This window comes from Homo sapiens, chromosome 21, assembly GCF_000001405.40.
Source record: "Homo sapiens chromosome 21, GRCh38.p14 Primary Assembly".
Taxonomy (NCBI): Eukaryota; Metazoa; Chordata; class Mammalia; order Primates; family Hominidae; genus Homo; species Homo sapiens.
The window spans coordinates 6,525,440-6,545,821 of NC_000021.9; the positions used below are offsets into that span (position 1 = coordinate 6,525,440).

A 20,382-nucleotide genomic window follows, 5' to 3' on the forward strand; every position below is an offset into this window, starting at 1 on the left:
ATACACACCTACGGTCCCAGCTACTTGCAAGGCTGAGGTGGGGGTGTGGCAGGCCAGGTCTCACTAACACAGGCCTCCATAACAACTGTTTCAGTACTGACCAAGTGGTAAAGTTAAATATTAAAAGCTGAAAGAGCCAGCGCCCTTATACAAAGGCTGGAATGTAACAAAAGCCCACCAAGAGTTTTGCCCAGGCCTTTCCTGGGCTTTAAAGCATGAAGAGATAACAAAGGAATTCTTAACAGGACCCATTTAGGATTAAACAAATTTTATTGGGGGTCTGAAGAAACTCCCCAGGCCTCCACAAACAGGCTTTACTGGAGACTAAAGGAACTCCCCAAACCTCCATGACTTAGCAGGAGGCCAGATCCGGGTTTTCACCCCAGCACCTGGACCCAGCTAGGTTAATTAAATTCACTGAGGCTCCGGAGGAAGGTCTTCTGGACTCAGATCTTAGTTATGGATTAGAAGTTAATCACTTATGTCTTTAGATGGATGCACACTCACACGTAGACACACAGCTGAGAAGGTATAGAAGCTCTGGAAAACGCTGTCATTTTAAGTTGGTCTGGTGATAATTTCCAGGCCTTCTCTCTGTAACTGGTTACAGAAATAAAAACTCCCTTCTCTCCTAGTTCATCTGCATCTTGTCACTGGGACATGAGCATAGGTGGTCTACCTTCAGTTTGGTCTGTGAACAGGAGGATTACTTGAGCTCAGGAGTTCTAGTCCAGCCTGGGCAACAGAGCAAGACCCTGTCTCAAAAAGAAAGAAAGAAATGAGGATATGAGTTTGCTGCTCTTTAAATCGATGACTTTGCAGCTCTTCATCTGAAGAGGTGGCGTCTGTTTCTCCTGTTTGAGTGTGGCACATCCAGGAGAGTGGCTTTGAGCAGTGGTGTGGCAGACGTGACTGTAGGCCAGCCCTGAGCTGAGGCTGCCAGGGGACTGCACACTTCTTCTCTCAGCTCTGCCAGCTGCTGCACTGTGTCTGGGCCAGCCCGCTGGAGCACAGAGTTCAGTGCATTGGGACAGCTACAGCCCATTGCATCGGGACAGCCCACAGCAACAAGACCCACCTGTCGCCACTGCAGGTGCGTGAGGGTGCCCGGCTGAGAGCAGACAAACCGCCTAGCAGGTGGCTTTTCAAGCGGAATCACAGACTAGCTCCATCGCTGTGGTGAACGTTCTCCCCAGTGCCAGGATTCCACTTGGCCCCTGACTGCTTGAGCAGCCGATGTGACAGCCATCTCTCTGCTGCCGTGCATGTCGGCTGGGCTGGAGCCAGTGCATCAGGAAGTAGACGCAGAAGTGGATCAGGAGCAAAACATTCCTGAGAGCTGGCAGAAGCTGGCGTCTGGAGCCGCTGGGATGCGGGTATGGGCTCTCTCAGTGGCGGAGGAACAGCCTCCTGGCAGAACCAAAGGTTGCTTTGTGCCTTCGATGCTGCTGCTGGCCAGAGTGGTTTTCTGTCTCAGACCCTGTACCACGTGTCTGTTCTTTCTCATTTTTTACTTAAAGGAGAAGAAAATGATTATGTGTACATGCTGGTGGCACACATAACTTAGTATTAAGTATTACAAAGTCTTACAGGCAGGGCACAGTGGCTCACGCCTATAATCCCAGTATTTTGGGAGGCTGAGGTGGGCAGATCACCTGAGGTCAGCAATTTGAGACCAGTCTGGCCAACACAGTGAAACCCCATCTCTACTAAAAATACAAAAATTAGCCAGGTATGGTGGCACACACCTGTAATTCCAGCCACTCAGGAGGCTGAGGCAGGAGAATCATTTGAACCCGGGAGGCTGAGGTTGCAGTGAGCTGAGATCACACCACTGCACTCCAGCCTGAGTGACGGAGTGAGACTCTGTTTCAAAAAAAGAAAAAAAAGTCTGAAAAGTCTTACAGACCCAAGGAAGAATTTGTCTTCCTCTGTGAGAGGGGAGATGTGCTCTGATGATATAGGAGAAAACCCCAAAATCAGTATCAGCCCACCAACCAGGGCAGTGAAGCCGCACCCAGATGCACCACACATGGCAGTCCATGAACAGCCGGGCTTTTGTAAAGGCCGGTGCTTTATGGAATGACGCTCTGCCGGGCCCGGGTTCTGGGGCTTCCAGTCACTCAGTCTTTTGTTTACTCATCCATTGCGTATTTCTTGAGCACCTCCTATGAACCAGATGCTGCTTGAGGAACTGGGGTTACCAGGGCAAATGAGACCAGGCCCCTGCCCTCGGGGGCCCCAGGTTCAGTGGGAGAGAGAAGACAAAAAAAAGGAAAAGAAGTGAGCTAATTTCAGATAGTGCTTAGAGCTGTGGAGAGAATGCGTGGCACTCGGAGGCCCTGAGCAGCCCAGATGGTGAAGCAGCTGTGGTTGTGGTGTTGAGAGTGTGACCCTGAAAAGATGTAGAGTTGAGAGTGAGTGAAGGCCCGGGGTCGGCAGGGGCGGGGTGGCGGCTGGAGCATGAGCTCTATGTGGAGGAGCAGTGAGCAGACCACTGTGCCCGGAACTTGGTGGGGGTCCAGGGCCAGGTGAGGCTGGCAGAGTTTGGGGAGGGGCTCCTGGCCCAAATCAGGTGGGCTGTGGCATGGAGCATGATGTCATCCTAAAACCATCCTAAGGACACTTCAGACGGTCACTTTCTCAATCTGGGCCTTGGTTTGTTGATCTGTGGAATGGGAGTTGCACTAGTTGATTCCTGGGGTCCCTTCTGAAACCCCCAACTTTGTGAGTCCATGACATGAAACATAACCCCCCTGCCATGGTCTGCAGAAAGCTGTAAACTCTCCCTCCCCAGGGAGACAGACGCTCGTCTCCCTGGCTGCCCAAAGCGCAGGGAGTCTCATGTTCTGATGGCTCTTTCTTTCTCTCTTTCTTTCTTTTTCTTTTCTTTTTTTTTTTTTTAAGATGGAGTCTCACTCTGTCATCCAGGCTGGAGTACAATGGCGAGATCTCAGCTCACTGCAACCTCCGCCTCCTGGGTTCAAGCAATTCTCCTGTCTCAACCTCTTGAGTAGCTGGGATTACAGGCATGCACCACCACGCCCAGCTAATTTTTGTGTTTTTAGTAGAGACACGGTTTCACCATATTGGTCAGGCTGGTCTCGAACTCCTGACCTCAGGTGATCCGCCCCCCTCAGCCTCCCAAAGTGCTGGGATTACAGGCGTAGCCACTATGCCCGGCTTGGCTCTCACTTTCGTGTTCTTTCCATGTAATCACACATGAATGGTTGTCACAAGATCTCACAGGGAAATAATTTAGCAAGTGAATCTCAGTTTTAAAAAGGAAGGTGTTTGTGTTTTATCAGCATCTGTAATTGATCAGACCATATAGTTAAACCCCTAAGAAGACTTAAGGTCTTATCTCCCTCAGCTGAGACTTCTGTGACAAATGCCACAGATACACAGATTAAACAACAGAAATTGATTTCTCACAGTTCTGGAGCCTGGAAATTCAAGATCAAGCTGCTGGTCAGTGCTGTTCCTAGTGAGGTCTCTCTTCCTGGTTTGCAGACAGCTGCCTTCTCATTGTATCCTCAGACGGTGAGGAGAGAGAGAGAGTGAGCAAGCTCTCTTCTCTCTTCTTATAAAGGCACTAACCTCATTATAGGGCCCCATCCTCATAACCTTATTACCTCCGAGTCCTCACCTCCTAACACCATAGGAGGTTAGGGTTTCAACATTTTAATTTTGATAAATATTCAGTTCATAACAGGTCTGCACCTGGGGTCCATATAGGTCAGTTTTATTTCCAGCAGAATAATGGTGATCTGTACCACCATTACACCTGCCTGTATGCAGGCAACCCATATTCATGGCTTTCCATAAATGGCTTTATTCTTTCCGAAAATGGCATTTTTATTTCGCTTACTGTGTGTGTGATTAATACCTTCTCATGGTTCAAAATAAAAATAACCAAAAAGTCCCCTGCTGGCTCTGTGCTCAGCCTCCTACAACCTCACCAGGAGCAGCCAGTGTGACCAGTTTCATGCGGGCCCTAGAGATATTTTATGTAGTTACAAGCAATTGCATATGTATTTCCTGTTTTGGCATAAATGTTAGCACACCATACATACGTTGTTCTCCATGTTATTTTTATGTAATAAGTTGGAGATATTTCCATATCTCTAGAAGGAAGGAGATACGAAAACAAAGAATTTCTTTTTGTGTGTGTGCCACAATAGCAAAGAAATTTCTTCATTTTTCAATGGTAAAATACACGTAACATAAAATTCACCATTTTAACCTTTTACTAATAAGTGTACAGTTCAGTGATATTAAGTACATTTGCATTGTTGTGCAACCATCACTACCACCAACCTCCAGAACTCTTTTTTGTCTTGCAAAATCAAAACTCTGTCCCCGTTAAACACTAACTGCCTGTTCTCCTTCCCTCAGCCCCTGACACCTACCATTCTATTGTCCGTCTCTATGCATATGACTCCTCTAAGAAACTCAAACAAGTGCAATCATTTGTTCTTTTGTGACTGTCTTTTTTTTTTTTTTTTGAGACAGAATCTTGTTCTATCGCCTAGGCTGGAGTGCAGTGGTGCGATCTCAGCTCATTGCAACTTGCACTCCTGGGCTCAAGTGATTCTCCTGCCTCAGCCTCCCGAGTAGCTGGGATTACAGGTGTGTGCCACCACTCCCAGCAATTTTTTTTTGTTTGTATTTTTAATAGAAACAGGGTTTCACCATGTTGGTCAGGCTGGTCCCAAACTCGGATTACAGGCGTGAGCCACTGCGCCCGGCCTGTGACTGCTTTGTTTTACTGAGCATATTGTCTTCAAGGTTCATCCATGTGGTAGCATGTGTCAAAATGCCTTCCTTTCTAAAGGTGAATAATATTTCACTGCATGTACAGACCACATTGTGTTTATCTGTTGACCTGTTGGTGGACGCCTGGGTTGTTTCCACCTCTTGGCTGTTGTGAATGACGCTGCTGTGAACATGAATGTGCAGATTTCCTCATTTTTCAACCACTGCAGGCTGTTCCACGCAGCAGAGGCTGGTACACCTACTCTCTACGGTGCACATTTAGGGAGTGTCCGTTTTTCACTAACACCAACAGCTGCAACAGTAATCTTGTGCACAGGTGACTGCACATGTGCGACTCTGTATTTGCAGCATACAGTTCTAGAGGTGGCATGGCTGCATCAAATGGAACGTGCGTTTGTAATTTGGTTACCCCATGTCTCTAAGGCATTTTAGTTTGGCAGCTGTTAGAAGCTGGTTTCGGATCAAATCTTGCAAGTGGCGGGAGGGTTGTGGGTGTCTTTATCAGGCTAGAGTCATGGAAAGAATGTGCCCCTTTCAGACCTTGACCTCTGTTGGGGTTACATCTTTAAAGGCACCGTCTTTCCACTTTGGAAATGGAAGTGTCCCACTTGCTGTGCTGACGGACACTAGAGGGCGGAGTTCCCCATCTTTCAGGCAATGTGAAGGCTCAGTCCACTTCTCCACTTCTGCAACTACAGAGGTGATTATTTGGGACCACTGGATTGGGGGGAGAAAGTCAGTGTCTCCCAAGGGGTACGGCACAGGACAGAGAACCAGTATTGGAGCTCAGACAGGCTCGGGGGACTGGGAGATGGAAGCCATCGCCTTTACCTTGGGCATTTCATCTTAGGTCCCATGGAAACAGGGGCCATGGGTTGGTACTTATCATTTCTTTTAAACAGATAATGGCATACAGTAAGTCCTCAATTTCATCACAGCTTCCTGGAAACTGTGACTTTAAGCAAGACAACATATAATGAAACCAATTTTACCATAGGCTAGTTGATATAAACAAGAGTTAAATTCCTATGTCATAGGCTGGGTGCGGTGGCTCACACCAGTAATCCCAGCACTTTGGAAGGCCAAAGCGGGCAGATCACCTGAGGTTGGGAGTTCAAGACCAGCCTGACCAACATGGAGAAATACTAAAAATACAAAAGTAGCTGGGTGTGGTGGTGCATGCCTGTAATCCCAGCTACTCGGGAGGCTGAGGCAGGAGAATCGCTTGAACCTGGGAGGTGGAGGTTGCAGTGAGCCGAGATCACGCCACCGCACTCCAGCCTGGGCAATAAGTGTGAAACTCTGTCTCAAAAAAAAAAAAAGAGGCATATTTCTGCTCTCAAAACATCACCAGAACAGGTGTGGTGGCTCACACCTGTAATCCCAGCACTTCGGGAGGCTGAGGTGGCAGATCTCTTGAGGCAAGGAGTTCAAAACCAGCCTGGGCGACATGATGAAACCCCATCTCTACAAAAAATGCCCCCCAAATTAGCCAGGAAAGGTGGTGTGTGCCTGTGGTCCCAGCTACTTAGGAGGCTGAGGTGGGAGGATTGCTTGAGCCTCAGAGGCTAAGGTTGCGGTGAGCTGTGATCACACCACCACACTCCAGCCTGGGCGACGGAACAAAACCCTATTTCCAAAAAAACCCCACAAAAAAACAAAAAACACCACCAAATTTCTAAAGACCCAAACACTTCTAATATTAAACATTGAAATAAATGTAAACTATCCCTACATGTAGAGGTAGCTACACCTACATAAGGAAGATTAATACAAACAAGTGAGATCATGATCTACCCAATATTTGGGATGTCCGTGAGTGATGGCGGTGGTAGTGGTGGTGGTGAAATCACGGAATCAATGTCTGCAAAGCACACGCTCTTGGGAGCACCTCCTCCCACCGCACAGCTGAAAGACAAGCGACCGTGAGTATGGCGGCTCCTTGAGCACCCTCACACGCGGCGTTTGTTGTCATGCGTTTGTGTGATTACCGTAGGCTTTATAATTTTTATTTGATAATTTATATTCATGTATTCATTCATTTTCCAACTTGCTTTCTCCAGTTCAGAGTGGCAGGTGACCAGGGCCCATCCTGGAGGCTCAGTGCCAAGGTGGGCACCCGCCCTGGATAGGACAGGCCTCCATGGGACACCCACACTCACTCGGACTAGGCCCATGTAGACATGCCGTGAGGCTGAGGTGTATACTTGGGATGTGGGAGGAAACTGGAGGACCTGGAGAAAACCCGCGCGGACCTGGGGAGACCTCCTCAATGCTCCCTAGAATGAAACGATGGGATTTGAGGACCTGCTGTATTTATTTGTCCCAATCCAGCGGCCCTGGCCTTCAGTGCACAGTAGTCCCTGCTGCTGGGCACACATCCCCTCATGCTCAGTCCATTGACCAGGACTGGGCACATGGCCTCACCTAGCTGCGGGCAGTGGCTTCTGCCCTGGGGCAGGCAGCTGCTCCAGGTCTGGAGATGAGCCCCACCTCCAGGTGCAGCTGCTCCAGGTGTGGAAACGGGGCTCTACCTCGTGGGGAGCGTCCGCTGCGGGCCACAACCTTGCTGGGAGGCTGCGGGAGATGGGGGGTAAGAGGGGTGATGTTGAGGCTTTCCCTCCTCGGCAGTGACCGGCGCAGCCCTCCCCAGTGTAGCTCCCCCCTCCCCACCCCTCCCTCCATCTGGAACACAGCACGGGGGCTGCCCTCCAGCCCTCAGTGTGCAGGGCTTGCACACCTTGGCTTGCAGGGCATTTGGGGGATCCCAGTGGGGCAACTGCCAGCTGGAGAGATGCTGGTGCCCAGCCGTGCTGCTCCTGGGGGCAGGCTGGGTAGGGGCTGAGGGGCTGGAGTGAGCGGTCCACAGTCATCCAGGAACAACAGGGCTCTCACCTGGCAGGGCTCCCAGGCACGTTGATGGAGGGAGGGTTTCCTCAGTCCTCTCCCCCAGCCCTTACTGGGCAGTACCCCCACCCACCATACTGTCTCTTGCCTGGGTCTCAGGTGGTCGGCGCTGTCTGGCCCCTGCCTCTCCCTCTGTCCCTTCAGCTGAAGCGGGCTCCACGCCATCCCAGGACTTCCCGCGCGGTCTGAAGCACAGCCACATCCGGTCTGACCGTCCCTCACCCCTCCCTCACCCCTCCCTCGCCCCCCCTCGCCCCTCCCTCGCCCCTCCCTCGCCCCCCCTCGCCACCCCAGGAGGAAATAGAGGCTGAGTGTCCGTGCCCTGCAGCCGAGCAGCCACCCTTGCCTTTGGCCCCACCTTCGCCTGCCTGGCGGCCGTCCTGTCACCTGTCATTCAGCCCTTGCTGTCTGCTGGGCACGTGCCCTGCAGGTGGGGTGCACGGCAGGCCCATGAGTGCCCACCATGCCTCGCCATTCAGGAAGCCACCCAGGTGCTCCGGGCGGTGTCAGGGCAGGGTGCGTCTGTGCGGCGTTTGCATGTGTCCACCGTCCTGACCGGGGGCAGGGCCACGTCCCACACATCTTTCTGCCTAACTTATGATGTGGCAAAGACACATCCCGATACCTCTCCCGGGTGGGCCTGTGAGCTGGGCTCTGTGACGCCAAGGCCCAGGACCTGCTCAGCCCTGGGAAGATGGAACTGGAGGGGACCTTGAGATGGCTGGCCCAGCCCCTTGTCTTATAGACAGGGAGACAGCAGAAAGGGAGATGGAGTCACCGGCCAGGACCCCAGCTATGAGTGGGAGCTGGACCAGGAGTTGAGTGTCCTGAGCCACCTCCTCCCTGTGCTGGGTCCACTCTCAGAAACACTCCAGGTCTGGAGGCAGACCTGGAGGCAGGGCAGGGCAGGGCAGGGAGGGCAGAATGGCTATGATGTGGTGAGGCTGTGTCCCCACCCAAATCTCACCTCGAATTGTAATCCCCAGGTGTTGAAGGAGGGAGGCGATTGGATCATGAGGCGGTTTCCTCCATGCTGTTCTCATGATAGCTAGTGAGTTCTCATGGGATCTGATGGTTTTATAAGGGGCTCTTCCCCCTTCGCTTGCTCTTGCTCTCTCTCTCCTGCCACCATGTGAAGAAGGTGCCTGCTTCCCCTTCAGCCATGACTGTAAGTTTCCTGAGGCCTCCCCAGCCATGCAGAACTCTGAGTCAATGAAAACTCTTTCCTTTAGAAATCACCCAGTCTCAAGTAAGTTTTTTTTTTTTTTTTTTCAGACAGAGTCTTGCTCTGTCACCCAGGCTGGAGTGCAGTGGCACCATCTCGGCTCACTGCAACCTGCGCCTCCTGGGTTCAAGCGATTCTCGTGCCTCAGTCTCCCGAGTAGCTGGGATTACAGGTGCCTGCCACCACTGCCGGCTAATTTTTGTATTTTTGGTAGAGATGGGGTTTCACCATGTTGGCCATGATGGTCTCGAACTCCTGACATCAGGTGATCCACCCACCTCGGCCTCCCAAAGTGCTGGGATTACAGGCGTGAGCCACCGCACCCAGCCAGAAGTTCTTTATAGCAGTGGGAAAATGGACGAATCCAGGCTTGCATCAGTGTTCCGGGGCAGCCCAACAAAGTACCACAAAATGAGGGGCTTAAACCATAGACATGTGCTCTGTCGTGGCTCTGGAGGCCAGAAGTCTGAACTCCAGGTGTGGGTGGAGCCGCGCCCCCTCTGAGATTCTAGGAGAGTTCCCTTCCTCGCTTCTGCCAGCTGCTGGTGGGTGCCGGAAGCCTTGGAACTCTGATCTGTGGCAGCCTCACTCCTACCTCTGCCTCCGTGTTTACACGACCTCTCTGTGTGTGTGCGTCCAAATTTCTCTCTTCTTACAGGGTCGCCAGTCATTAGATGAGGGCCCACCTTCTCCAGTGTGACCTCATCTTAGCCTCATTACATCTGCAAAGACCCCACTTCCAAATAAGATCACATCCGTAGGTTTTGAGGTTAGGACTTGAAGACATCGCTTTGGGGGACACAGTTCCACCCAATGCAGGTCCTTGGTGAGCCAGGTAGAATGAGCTGGTGGTGTGGGCAGTGGCTTGAGAGAGCCGCTATGCCAGTAGCTTTGTGGAAGTTTCGGGGCCGTGGTTTCTCTGAGACCGTTTACATAGGTTCTCAGTAGGGGCTGGAAGAGGCTGTGGGCGTTTGTGTCAGGGTGACTGGGTGGAGGTGGCCGGTCTGCATGCCGGTTCATCAAGGGGAGGATGTCCCATGGATCAGGGGCCAGAATGGAGCCAGCTGCCTCCCTCCGGCTCCCAGAGCCACCCCAGGCCATGCACAACTTTGAGCCCTCAGAGGTCCAGTTCCTCGGTCGGTCTTTCCTCAGCTTCCTCCTCTGTAGGCCATGGAGCTGACCATCCTGCCTCTGGCAGCTGTGGTGCTGTTTAGGGGAACGGTCATTGCCTTCATCTCCATTTTATAGTTGGGGAAACTGAGGCTCAGAGGAACGAAAACTCTGGGTAGGAGCACAGAAAGAGCAGAGCATGGGCGGTGGACAAAGAGTCGCCGTCCCTGACAGTCTCGCGGTCGGACCTTGGTCACGTGTGGTCTGGGGCTCTCGCCTCCTCCCAGCTCTGAGGTTCTCTGCATGAACTCCAAGGAAACAGCCTGTTCTGGGATGGCAGGAGCTGGTGGACTTCCAAGTTAGAAACACAAAGATGCCATGAGCTTAGGGTTCTGGAAGGCCCTGGGGTGTCCGCTAGGTGTAAGGTGCTGGTGGCCCTGGTCAAACAACCCCTAAGGGTGGGCAGAGTGGGGGGCAGGTGGGAAAAACAGATTGACACTCCCAGATTGGACTCCAGGTGACGGCCTGCTGGTGCCCACCTGGCTAGAACTTTCTATTCCTTTTTGTCCAGGTCTCATGGAACAAGGAAATCAAAAAAACACCCGCCCGTGCACAAATGGATTTCCTGAACCCTTCTGTGCGCCAGTCCTTGGGGACGCAAATGTGAATGAGGCGGCGCTCTGTTGAATTTCCGTGCCCAAACTCACCAACGTGCACAGATACTGATGTGGGAACACCCGCTATAAGGTGGCCTGGAGCAGTGAAGACCCTGCTCTCTTGTGAACTCCCGCAACCATGGCCAGCCCCCTGGGGCTCCCAGACCTTGGCAGTCAGCCCTTGTGGTTTTTAAAAAATTTATTTTTATTTTTATTTTTAGAGGCAGGGTCTCATTATGTCACCCAGTGATATGGTCTGGCTGTGTCCCCACCCAAATCTCATCTTTTATTTTTTTTTTTTTTGAGACGGAGTTTCGCTCTTGTTGCCCAGGCTGGAGTGCAGTGGTGCAATCTCGGCTCACCGCAACCTCCACTTCCAGGGTTCAAGCGATTCCCCTGCTTCAGCCTCCCGAGTAGCTGGGATTAAGGGCGCAGACCACCATGTCTGGATAATTTTTTTTGTATTTTTAATAGAGATGGGGTTTCATCATGTTGGCCAGGCTGGTCTTGAACTCCTGACCTCAGGTGATCCACCCACTTCGGCCTCCCAAAGTGCTGGGATTATAGGTGTGAGCCACCGTGCCCAGCCCCAAATCTCATCTTGAATTGTACTCCCATAATTCCCACATGTTGTGGGAGGGACCCAGTGGGAGATAATTGAATCATAGGGGTGGTTTCCCCTGTACTGTTCTTGTGGTAGTGAATAAGTCTCATGAGATCTGATGGTTTTAGAAGAGCTTTCCGCATTCTCTCTTGCAGCTGCCGTGTGAGATGTGCCTTCTGTCATGATTGTGAGGCCTCCCCAGTGAGCCCATTAAACCTCTTTTTCTTCCCAGTCTTGAGTATGTCTTTATCTGAAGCATGAAAACGGACTAATATACCCAGGTTGGAGTGCAGTGGCGCCATCTTGACTTACTGCAGCCTTGACCTCCAGCTTTCAAACGATCCTCCTCCCTTGGCCTCCCAAAGTGTTGGGGTCACAGGTGTGAACCACCATGTCCAGCCAGCCCTTGGGTTTTGAGATGCTCAAGTTACAGGTGAGAAGTGCTTTGTTTGTTCCGGAATCTGTGTCCTGAGAGGGTTAAAGACAAGGGCTGGCCAGCCCCTAGAACCTGGCCGTGTCACCAGGGGAGCTGTGGAAGCAGGAGGGAAGCAGGAGGGAGGCAGCAGTTCTGTGCCGTGGGGCACCTTGGGCTTTTCTTTTTTCTTTCTAATAGAGAAGCAACATTTTGAATAAATCCACAAAAGCGTAGAAGATCATCTCATCGGTTTCTGTGTGTGAAGTTTCATGCTTATCTAACTGCATTTAGGAAAATTCACGTGTACATTTTTCCCAAGGGGAGCGAGAGGATGTGAGCGTTCTACTTGTTCATTTCATATCTGCTTTTACAAATTCATAGGGAGGGTGAGGAAGGAGCTGTGGTTCTCATTGCGACTGATGTTTGATTATTTGATTCAGGAATTTCACTTCTGGGAACTTGACTTAGGGAAATGCTCTCAGAGACGCGTGCGATGTTGTTTGTAACAAGCACATGTGGAGATGTCCCGGGCCCCTCATGAGGCGGCTGCTTGTGTCCGTTTGTACCTCTTGCCAGCTGTGCAGTGTCGCTCAGCTCCCAGAAGGAGGGAGGCAGGTCCAGGCATTGATGGTTAGTTTTGTTTTTTTTTTTGAGAAGGAGTCTCCCTCTGTCACCCAGGCTGGAGAGCAGTGGCACGATCTCAGCTCAACTGCAACCTCCACCTCTCAGGTTCAAGCGATTCTCCTGCCTCAGCCTCTTGAGTAGCTGGGATTACAGGCATGCACCACCATGCCTGGCTAATTTTTGTATTTTTAGTAGAGACAGGGTTTCGCTGTGTTGGCCAGGCTGGTCTCGAACTCCTGACCTCAAGTGATCCACCCGCCTTGGCCTCCCAAAGTGCTGGGATTACAGGCATGAGCCACCGCGCCCAGCTGATGATTAGTTTTATCCATGTTCTTCCTGCTGCAGCTCACCCAGAGGCCCTGGTGGGGCAAGAACTTGGCTGGCCAGGGTTGGAGCAAAAACACCAGCCTTGGCTGTGGGTGAGGCAGGAGTGTGGCCGTGCAGGTGTGGCTTCCTCGCCGCATCTCCAGGGCGCTTTCCCTGTCCTGTGAGCTCCTTGAGGGCCGAACCTGGGCCTGTCAGTTCTGGGCTACCTCCACTTCCCAGCAGGCCCTCAAGAAGGGTTCCCTAGATGTGGTCTATTCCCACGGGAGACTATCATTCAGCCGTCGAAAGGAAGGGAATTCTGATGCAGGCTAGACAGGAATGAGGACATTAGGCTGAGTCAAAGAGGCCAGTCACAGACGCACAAGTACGGTGACCTCCCCTTTGATGAGGCCCTGGAGGAGTCAGATTCACAGAGACAGAAAGCAGAATGGTGGCACCGGGGCTGGGGGATGGGGAACGGGGGCGGAGTGTTGAACGGGGACAGAGTTTGCTTTGCACGATGAAGAGTTCTGTGGCTGGATGTCAGGGATGGTTGCACAAGACTGGAATGTACTTGATGCCACTGAACTGTGCACTTAAAAATGGTCATGATGGTAAATTTTACGTTATACATGTTTCACCATAGTTCGAAAAATACTTTAAAAAAAGCACCATGTCCCTTGGATTTAGTGATACCGACCCCTCTTTGTCCCTCTGCTTCCCAGTGGTTTCTTCTTGCCCCTGGGATTTGTAGGGATGGGTTGCCCCTCCACACCTGTGGGTGTTTCTCGTAAGGTGGGACGAGAGATTTGGAAAAGAAAAAGACACAGAGACAAAGTATAGAGAAAGAAATAAGGGGACCCGGGGAACCAGCGTTCAGCATATGGAGGATCCCGCCAGCCTCTGAGTTCCCTTAGTATTTATTCATCATTTGTGGGTGTTTCTCGAAGAGGGGGATGTGTCAGGGTCACAAGACAATTGTGGGGAGAGGGTCAGCAGACAAACACGTGAACAAAGGTCTTTGCATCATAGACAAGGTAAAGGATTAAGTGCTGTGCTTTTAGATATGCATACACATAAACATCTCAATGCTTTACAAAGCAGTATTGCTGCCCGCAGGTCCCACCTCCAGCCCTAAGGCGGTTTTTCCCTATCTCAGTAGATGGAGCATACAATCGGGTTTTATACCGAGACATTCCATTGCCCAGGGACGGGCAGGAGACAGATGCCTTCCTCTTGTCTCAACTGCAAGAGGCGTTCCTTCCTCTTTTACTAATCCTCCTCAGCACAGACCCTTTATGGGTGTCGGGCTGGGGGACGGTCAGGTCTTTCCCTTCCCACGAGGCCATATCTCAGACTATCACATGGGGAGAAACCTTGGACAATACCTGGCTTTCCTAGGCAGAGGTCCCTGCGGCCTTCCGCAGTTTTTGTGTCCCTGGGTACTTGAGATTAGGGAGTGGTGATGACTCTTAAGGAGCATGCTGCCTTCAAGCATCTGTTTAACAAAGCACATCTGGCACCGCCCTTAATCCATTCAACTCTGAGTTGACACAGCACATGTTTCAGAGAGCACGGGGTTGGGGGTAAGGTCACAGAATCTCAAGGCAGAAGAATTTTTCTTAGTACATAACAAAATGGAGTCTCCTATGTCTACTTCTTTCTACACAGACACAGTAACAATCTGATCTTTCTTGCTTTTCCCCACAGGATTTAACAACAAATCCTAATGCACGTGGGGGCCAGCGGCAGTGACTGTAGTCCCCTTGGCAGGCGAAGGCCTGTGAGTAGCCAGTGCTATGTCTGGCATTCTAGGCAGCTCCTGGCTCCCGGGCGGATCCTCCTGTTGCCTGCTGGGCCAGCCTCAGGTCGGCCCTTCCAGCTCTGTAAAACTCAGAAGGCCTTTAGGGCAGGCACTGTGCCACTGACCCCCTCTCTGTGTCCCAGGGCCCGGTACAATGAGATGATCATGGAATTAAACAGAACAGAACCATGAGGTGTCCACCAGGCCATGCCAGGATGCACTGGCTTCACCTGTGATTTTGGCACCAGTTTAAACAGTGTCACTTCATTCTGTGCTTCTCCTGATTAGTCTGCCTTCTGGCCGATATATCCCTGGGAGGCAGGTGCAGACCCCTCTTGACTATGTACTGTGTGCAGTTTTGGGGACAGAGCTCTTTATGTGGCCAAGGTCTGGCTGGGCAAGGTGTCTCATACCTGTAATCCCAGCACTTTGGGAGGCTGAGGCCAGAGGACTGCTTGAGGCCAGGAGTTTGAGAACAGCCTGGGCAACATAGCAAGACCCCATCTCTACAAAAAATAAATAAAAATTAGCCAAGTGCGCCTGTGGTCTAGCTACTCCAGAGGCTGAAATGGGAGGATCACTTGGGCCCAGGAGGTTAAGGCTGCAGTGAACTGTGATAGCACCACTGCACTCCAGCCTGGGCAACAGAGTGAGACCCTGTCGCAAAAAAAAAAAAAAAAAAAAAAAAAAGGGGCCAAGGTCCTTTCCCAGGACGTCAGGACGAATGTATGGAGCAGCAGCAGGGGTCTCAACGAGTGCCGCGCCGTTTCCAGCCGTGCGCACGTCCCTGTGGCTGCCGCAAGGAACAGAACGACTTGGTCATCTTGCAGTGGAAGTCAGAAGCCTGAAGTGGGTCCCGCTGGGTGATAATCAAAGTGCCAGCTGGCCTGCGTTGCTTCTGAAGCCTCTAGGAGAGAATCCACCTCCTTGCCTCTTCCAGCTTTTAGAGGCCGCCCTGTTCTGTCATAACTCAAGGCCCTGCATATGGCACAGGTGTGACTGTTCGCGCCCGCAGCTCCTTCACCAACCCTCCTGCCACCCTCCTTCCCTGCTTTCCTGTAAGGACCCCTGTGGTGACGTCAGGGCCACCTGGGTATCCAGAAGCATCTCCCCAGCTCGTGATCCCTCACTTAATCCCATCTCCAGCTGCCTTTTGCAGAGTAATGTGCACATTCATGGGTGCTGGGGACGGGGACATGGACATCTTGGGGTCGGGGTCATTATTCTGCCCACCACAGCCAACAATTACAATCAATGGGGATGAGAACTGGAAATGGTCCTGTATGATTCTCTTGCTGCCAGGCTTGAGAGCCAGCCAGGAGCACGCTGGGGGCCGAGCGTGGGAACGTGCCACATGTGACGGTGCTCCCACGGCTCAGCGCTGCTTCCAGACACAGTCCTACTAGTTGGAGCCTATTTTGGCCACAGCTCTCACCTGCGTTTTGGTGGTGGGAGGGGTGTTTCTGGGTTCCAGGTGAAGTTGGTTACACCTCCTGGGTGTTCAGGCATCAATGTTCACCTTCATCAAACGTTTAAAAAATTGTGGTTAGGCTGGGTGCAGAGGTCCATGCCTGTAATCCCAGCACTTCGAGAGGCTAAGGGGGGGTGGATCGCTTGAGGTCAGGAGTTTGAGACCAGCCTGGGCAACATGGCAAAACTACATCTCTACCAAAAATACAAAAATTAGCTGGGTGTGGTGGCGCGTGCCTGTAATCCCAGCACTTTGGGAAGCCAAGGCAGGTGGATCACCTGAGGTCAGGAGTTTGAGAACAGCCTAGGCAACGTGGCAAAACCCTGTCTCTACTAAAAATACAAAAATTAGCTGGGCGTGTTGGCACACGCCTGTAGTCCCAGCTACTTGGGAGGCTGAGGCAGGAGAATTGCTTGAACCTGGGAGGCAGAGGTTGCAGTAAACCGAGACAGTGCCACTGCACTCCAGCCTGGGTGACAGAGTGAAACTCCGTCTCAAAATAAATAAATAAATAAATTAGCTGGGCATGGTGGTGCACGTCTGTAATCCTAGCTACTCAGGAGGCTGAGGTGGAAGAATTGCTGGAATCTGGGAGGCGGAGGTTGCAGTGAGCTGCGATCACACCACTGCACTCCAGCTTGGGCAACAGAGTGAAACTCTGTCTCAAAAAAAAAAAGTGGTTAAATATATGTAACATAAAGGTTGCCATTTTAACCATTTCCAAGTGTACAGTTCTGTGGCATTAAGTACATTCACACCGTTTGCGACCATCACCGCCACGTCACGGTCAGTTTATGTTATCTTGATTAGGTGCCAGTCCCCAGGGACTCAAACATGAGGCAAAGTGTTGCTGTGAAGGTGTTTTGTGCGTGCGATTAACATCTACAATCCGTCCACCTTGAGTAAAGGAGGTGATCCTGAATGACATGGGTGGGCCTTGTTCAAACAGTCAAAGGCCTGAAGAGCAAAAATGAGGTTTCCTGAGAAGAAGAAATTCTGCCTCAAAACTGCAACTCCAATTCCTTCCTGAGTTTTCAGCCTGCTGGCTCATCTATCAATGTTGGATTTGCCAGCCACCACTATTGATATCGATATCTATATGTATTTCTTAATATCTATATTTATATATCTTATTGGCTCTGTTCCTCCCTGCCTGTCACACAGTCTGTCTGCTTGCCAGTCTCTCCTATGGGAATGTAGCCCCCTGAAGTCAGGAACTGTCTTTTTTATAGCTGTATCCAGTCAGCTAGTGTGGCACACAGTAGGTGCTTAATAAAAACATAGCTACTTTCTAATTGCTCTGGCGCTCACATGGAAGTGGCTTGAACAGTAGACGCATGGGAGAGAGCTGTTCCTGGCATCCTGATGGCCTGGTGTGCATCTCGGGTAATTCATACAGTATCTTACGTTTGCCCTCTCCTTATTAATGTCACCCAGCCCTACCTATTCTAGGCAGCTGCGTTCACTCTGGTGAAGGGGATAAGTTCTCTGGGAACCTTCATTTGCTGAGTCAGTGTGGCCACCTAGGGTTTCTGCTTGGATGTGTTCCTGACACATCCGCCCCGGTCTCCAGCCCTGGGTGGACAGCTCTGCGTAAGTGTTCCCATTGCTCCTAGGAATTCGCTCTAGTCTCAGACCCAACACATTCATCCATCCATCCATCCATCCATCCATCCATTCAACAATCTGTGTTCAATGCCTCTTCCCATTTAGCACTGGGGATACAGTGGTGAACAAAAGAGATGACAATTCCTGCCCTCATGGAGCTTACCTTCTAGTAGAGAAGGCAGACCATACACAAGATAAATAAGGGGACTATACTGAATGTTAGAGAATAACGTGTGTTCAGGAGGAAAAGAACTGCCAGAGGAGAGGAGGGCGTGAGATGTGTGGAAGTCCTCATGCATTGGTCAGCTCTTGTTATGGTAATGCTACATAACAAACACCCCTAAGTTCCAGTGGCTTCCACCCATTCTCTTGGGTCTATGGTTTGCTTGGGTGGTTCTGCCTCAGGCATTGGGTTGGGTTAGGGCCACTCCATGTGTTACCCTTCTGAGGTTCAGACAGAGGGAACAGCGTCTATGTGGGCACAGCCTTCTCATGGCGCAGGGCTCAACCATGCACGCACATTGAATGCCTTCAGCCGGACATGGCCAAAGTTATGTCTGCTCACACTCCATTGCCCAAAGCAAGTCACAAGTCGCAACAAGTCAGAAGGCTGGGGACACACACTCTGCCCATAGCGAGCCATGGCAGAGTCACTCACAAGGTGGGCGCTGTGGTTCGAATGCTTCTCTCAAGAAGCATGTGTTGGAAACTTATTCCCCAAGGCCACAGTGTTGGGAGGCGGGCCTAATGGGAGGTGATTCGGCCCTGGGGTGACTAGGCGAGAGGCGGGGCCCTCATGAATGGATGAATGCTATAATCGCTAGAATACGTTTGTTATCGTGAATCTGGGCTCCTTACGAAAGGGTGCGTTGGGTCCCCCCTCTCTTTGCTCTTCCACCTGCTGCTGCGGGATGACACAGCAGGAAGTCCCACCTGCCAACTTCTCAGCCTCCAGAACTGGGAGGAAATAAAGTTCTGTTCTTTATAAAGTGTGTAGTCTGCGGTATTCTGTTATAGCAGCACAAAATGGATTACGACAGCGGGTTTTCGGTACAGACCTCAAGGAAATTAGTGCACCAGCCATGCAGAGAACTGCAGGAAGAGCTCTCTGAGGTGGGAACAGGCCATGCAAAGGCCCTGAGGTAGGAGGGCACATGCGCCTCGGAGAACCCCAAGGGGCCAGCATGGTAGGAGCATTGGGAACAAGGGGAGGCTGGGGCTAGGTCTGTAAGGCACTGCGGGTCACCGTAAAGAATTTGACTTTTCCCCTGGGTAAGAAGGGAAATCAGGCAAGATGTGGAGTCCAGGAGGGGCCTGATGCAATCCTCGTTTTAGGAATTGCCCCAGCTGCTGGGTGGAGAATAGACTTGGAGGCAAAGCCATAAATGGGAACCCAGGGAGGCACGAACGGCAACCATCCAGGCAGAGGACAGTGCTGTCTTGGATCGAGGTGGTGGGGTGGTGAGGAATGGGTAAAGTCTGGACAGTTTTTGCAGGTAGAGGTGACAGAATTTGCTGATAAATCAGGGATGGGGCGTGTCTCAGTCCGCTTGGGCTGCCGTACAAGATACCACAGACTGAGTGATTTAAATAACAGAAATTTATTATCTCAGTTCTAGAGGCTGGAAGTCTGAGATGAAAGTGTCAGAAGGGCTGGCTCTTCCTGAGGCCTCTCTCTGTGGTTTGCGGACAGCCACCTTCTCCCTGTGTCCTCACAGGGCCTTTCCTCTGGGCACACACATCCCTGGTGTCTCTTTCTCTTTTCTTATAAGGACGCCAGTCCTATTGGATTAGAGCCCCCTGCTTATGACCTAATGTAATGTTGATTACCTCCTCCTATCTCCAAATACAGTCACACTGGGGTTAGGGCTGTAGTAACTCTTGCCTGTAATCCCAGCTACTAGGGAGGCCCAGGCACGAGGATCACTTCAGCCCAGGAGTTCAAGTCTAGCCTGGGCAACATAGTGAGAGGCCGTTTCCTAAAAAAAAAAAAAGGGTTTTTTCGTTTTTGTTTTTGTTTTTTTTTTTTTTTCGAGAAGGAGTCTTGCTCTGTTGCCCAGGCTGGAGTGCAGTTTCTCAATCTCGGCTCACTGCAACTTCCGCCTCCTGGGGTTCAAGCGATCCTCTTGCCTCAGCCTCCTGAGTAGCTGGGATTACAGGTGCCGGCCACCACACCCGGCTAATTTTTGTGTTTTTAGTGGAGACAGGGTTTCGCCATGTTGGCCGGGCTGGTCTCAAACTCCTGACCTCATGTGATCCACCCGCCTCGGCCTTCCAAAGTGCTGGGATTACAAGTGTAAGCCACTGCGCCCGGCCAAGAGTGAAGTTCTGATAGCTGGGGTAAGAAAGGCCGTGGGAACAGCCGGTTTCAGACACGCTGGGTCTAAGACGCTGCGTCTGGCGCTGCTCGGCATCCAATGGGAGCCGTGGAGAAGCCAGGCGAGTGCGTAGGGCGGAGCCAGCGCACAGGAAATAGGACGTGATGAGGTCAACCGGCTGGTCCAAGTGTGGACGGAAGTAGAGGATGCAAGCACCGAGCCCCGGGGCCCCCAGCATTGGCGGGGAGGAGCTCGCGGTGCGGGAGAAGCAGGGGACCGCGCATCCTGGAGACCAGGTGGAGCCAGTGCGCCCGGAAGGGGCGTGGCCCGCTGACAGCCGCCCAGGAGGCCGGGGGAGGCCTGGAGCCGAGGGCCGCGCGTGGCAATGTGGAGAGACATTTTGGTGGAGTCATGGGGCCACAGCCTGATTGGTGAGAACAGGAAGGGAAATTGCAGATGGGCCTGGGCCCCCTGGCTCCCGCATACTCCAGGACCAGGGCTGAGTCATCGTTCACCGTGTGTGACCAGGGCCCCGTGTGGCCGGCTGTCACTCGG

General features: G+C 51.8%; 1 protein-coding gene and 2 long non-coding RNA genes across 4 annotated transcripts in view, besides 1 other annotated feature; 1 reads left to right on the forward strand and 2 right to left on the reverse strand.

The window, feature by feature from the left end:
• LOC102724701 (uncharacterized) overlaps nucleotides 1-20,382 on the reverse strand; it is a 441,766-nt gene that overhangs the window by 296,474 nt on the left and 124,910 nt on the right. The gene's annotated exons all lie outside the window — the stretch shown is intronic.
• LOC102724652 (crystallin alpha A2) overlaps nucleotides 1-20,382 on the forward strand; it is a 65,287-nt gene that overhangs the window by 26,237 nt on the left and 18,668 nt on the right. The window lies entirely within an intron of this gene.
• Nucleotides 1-20,382: part of a sequence alteration artifact (region identified as an assembly artifact by the Genome Reference Consortium. This region falsely duplicates sequence located at GRCh38 chr21:43035651-43187643) that runs on past both edges of the window.
• LOC106780825 (FOXM1-regulated, gastric cancer associated-like) lies at nucleotides 6,768-7,337 on the reverse strand. The gene is made up of 2 exons (NR_133678.1): nucleotides 7,207-7,337; nucleotides 6,768-7,058 (listed from the first exon to the last, which is right to left on the reverse strand). It is a non-coding gene; the product is annotated as an FOXM1-regulated, gastric cancer associated-like (long non-coding RNA).